The 2,284-nt window shown below is 44.6% G+C and overlaps 1 annotated feature.

Annotated features, from left to right (window-relative positions):
• Positions 674–1,625: an enhancer, noted in NCBI's record as "NANOG hESC enhancer chr10:36238142-36239093 (GRCh37/hg19 assembly coordinates)". NCBI's record gives its function as "activates a minimal SCP1, AML or CMV promoter by ChIP-STARR-seq in primed H9 embryonic stem cells {active_cell/tissue: H9 hESC(primed)}" and the evidence as "EXISTENCE:reporter gene assay evidence [ECO:0000049][PMID:30033119]".

Below are 2,284 nucleotides of genomic sequence, written 5' to 3'. Positions count from 1 at the left end.
GAGTGGAGGATATTCATGCTGGTATTAACATCCCTTTATCAGGCACAACGGACAGGCCCTGTCTTCCATGTCAGGCACCTAGAAGGCATGGCCCTGAGATTGAATTAATGGTGAGAAGGAGGAGGTCCTATAATTACACAAGAAATCACAGACCCTGTTATTTAGCCAGCAAAGCTGAGTGGTTTCTGTAGATGGTAAATTAACCCAGTGGGGATTGGAAGAATATTTCTGTGTAAGAGATTTCTTTATTCATGAGAATAATTGGATATTGAAAAGCCATCATGTATGGTGTCTTGATTTGAAACTGTCAACTGCTATGTGAAGCCCCCTCCCTCCCTGCCCCCCTCCTCCGTCCTGTGTGTCTTTGCTCAGCCAATTATGGAGTTGCCAAGATGGAGCAATGCCCAGAGCCCGGGACCCACGGTAGCTCCCAAACCACAGAGGTTGGGGCACAAACCCTGCGGCTTGAGAAGCTTGTCCTGATCTGCATTGTCCATTCAGGTCATTAAAGTGACCCAGGGAAGAAAAGGAATAATAATATTTGGGGGAAAAAAGAGATAAAAGAACGGTCCACCTTGAAGGCGGAAACGTGAGCATGGGCTTTGAGGTAGCGTCCTCTAGGCATTAAGAGAATGCCCAGTTTTCCCAGTCCCTGCATTTTGCAAGCGTTCTTCCACATCCACATTCCGAACATATCATTTAGGGAAAAAACACCAGACAAATGCACTGGAAGTTCACAAGTTGTGAGGTAATTGCATTAGCACATAGAGAAAAGGGAAAGTATGCACAAAATCCTGATTGGCATTTCTCTGTTTAAAAGGCATTATTTTCCGATACCTGAGCATGCCCAGAGGAGCTGTCTCTGAGCAGCTGTGAAACAGAACCTTTTTACTTCAGGGTTAGTGCAGGGAGCTCATTAGCACCGCTCTACCCTCAGCTAAACAGCCTTGTTTGCATATTGAAGCAATAGAATGTGAAGGTGTTAAAAAGGAAGAATTGCTGCCGCTACTCCTGACTGACATGTCTATCTGGGCTCTTGTGTTTACAAGAGAATAACGAAGCTGCCCCAAAGCCCCTACTGGGCCTGATTATTATGCAGAGGCTTCTTAGATTATGTATAATTGATATCCTTTTTCCCTCCAGCTAACCAATGGCAGCTCTCAGGAGTAATGCAAATTCTCCTGCATCTTACCATCCGAGCAAACACTGGAAATTGCTATCTTTCTCTCTGCTTAATAATTTTTAAAGACCAAAAAAGTGACATTTACATTTTTCAGAAGCACAATGACTGCATGGTTGGTGTGGGTTTACTGCTTAATAACAATCATTGAATCAAACAGTTGAGAGACGATGGAATTCAGGACTTGGTTAGCCTCTATGAGAGTGTGTGTGTGTATGTGTGTGTGGGTGTGAATGTGTATTAAGTGCTTGATAGAAATACACTGAACAACAGTCACTCTTTAAGGCAAAGTACTGCCTCTAATAAGCCCCCTTCTTTTTGGGAAAGGGAGGGTGAGCAGTCACTCAAGTTAGTGAGCCCTGTACATTCTAATCCCAGTTTACATTTGAAATGCTTCACATGGAGCCACTACAACTCGCAGTTGCTAAACACACCCATGCCCTCTTATCGCCTTCCACTGGGGGTGGTTCTTGGTGTTTTAAGTCTTGGAAGTTAATTTTTGAGGAAAAAAAAAGTAATAGAAATGTGACAAAAACAGGCAGAGGGGACACAGTTCAGCTGGGTTGTAGCTCTGATCCCAGTTTATAGGCTGCTTGAAAGAGGGAAATGAAAGGCAGGTGGATGGGCGGTATGAAGTCTGCACACTCCAACCTCATGGAGACCAGCTCAGCCCCCAGTGCAGTCAAGCTACCCAACCGCCTGTAAACATAAAGATCGGCATGTTACTTGGAGATGGGAGTGTATCACCTTAAACACACCCACCAGAAGCTAGCATGACAACCAGTCCAGTGGAAAGGCAGCCCCAGCATGGCTCAGTACCTAGGGAAGTGTCCTGACAGTACGAGACCTTCACCCATCACCACATTCAGACACAGCTCCCATGGCAGTTTCCAAAATAACATGGAAAGCTTGGATTCAAATTGGAGAGACTCATTCATTTCATAAATTTTGTTGAGCAAAATTTATTATATGCCACAAGTTGTCCAGAAGCTAACTGCGAGTGAGCAAGATCAGGCTTACTGTCTAGTGGGGGGAAAAGATGAGTGAGCACACATTTGCAATCAACTGGAAAATATGCTAAAATAGAGGAGGTGTGGGGTGCGT

The sequence above is a fragment of the Homo sapiens genome, chromosome 10 (genome assembly GCF_000001405.40).
Source record: "Homo sapiens chromosome 10, GRCh38.p14 Primary Assembly".
NCBI classification, from domain to species: domain Eukaryota; kingdom Metazoa; phylum Chordata; class Mammalia; order Primates; family Hominidae; genus Homo; species Homo sapiens.
Note: the sequence above shows the minus strand (reverse complement) of the source record. Positions and strands in the feature narration are given on the sequence as shown.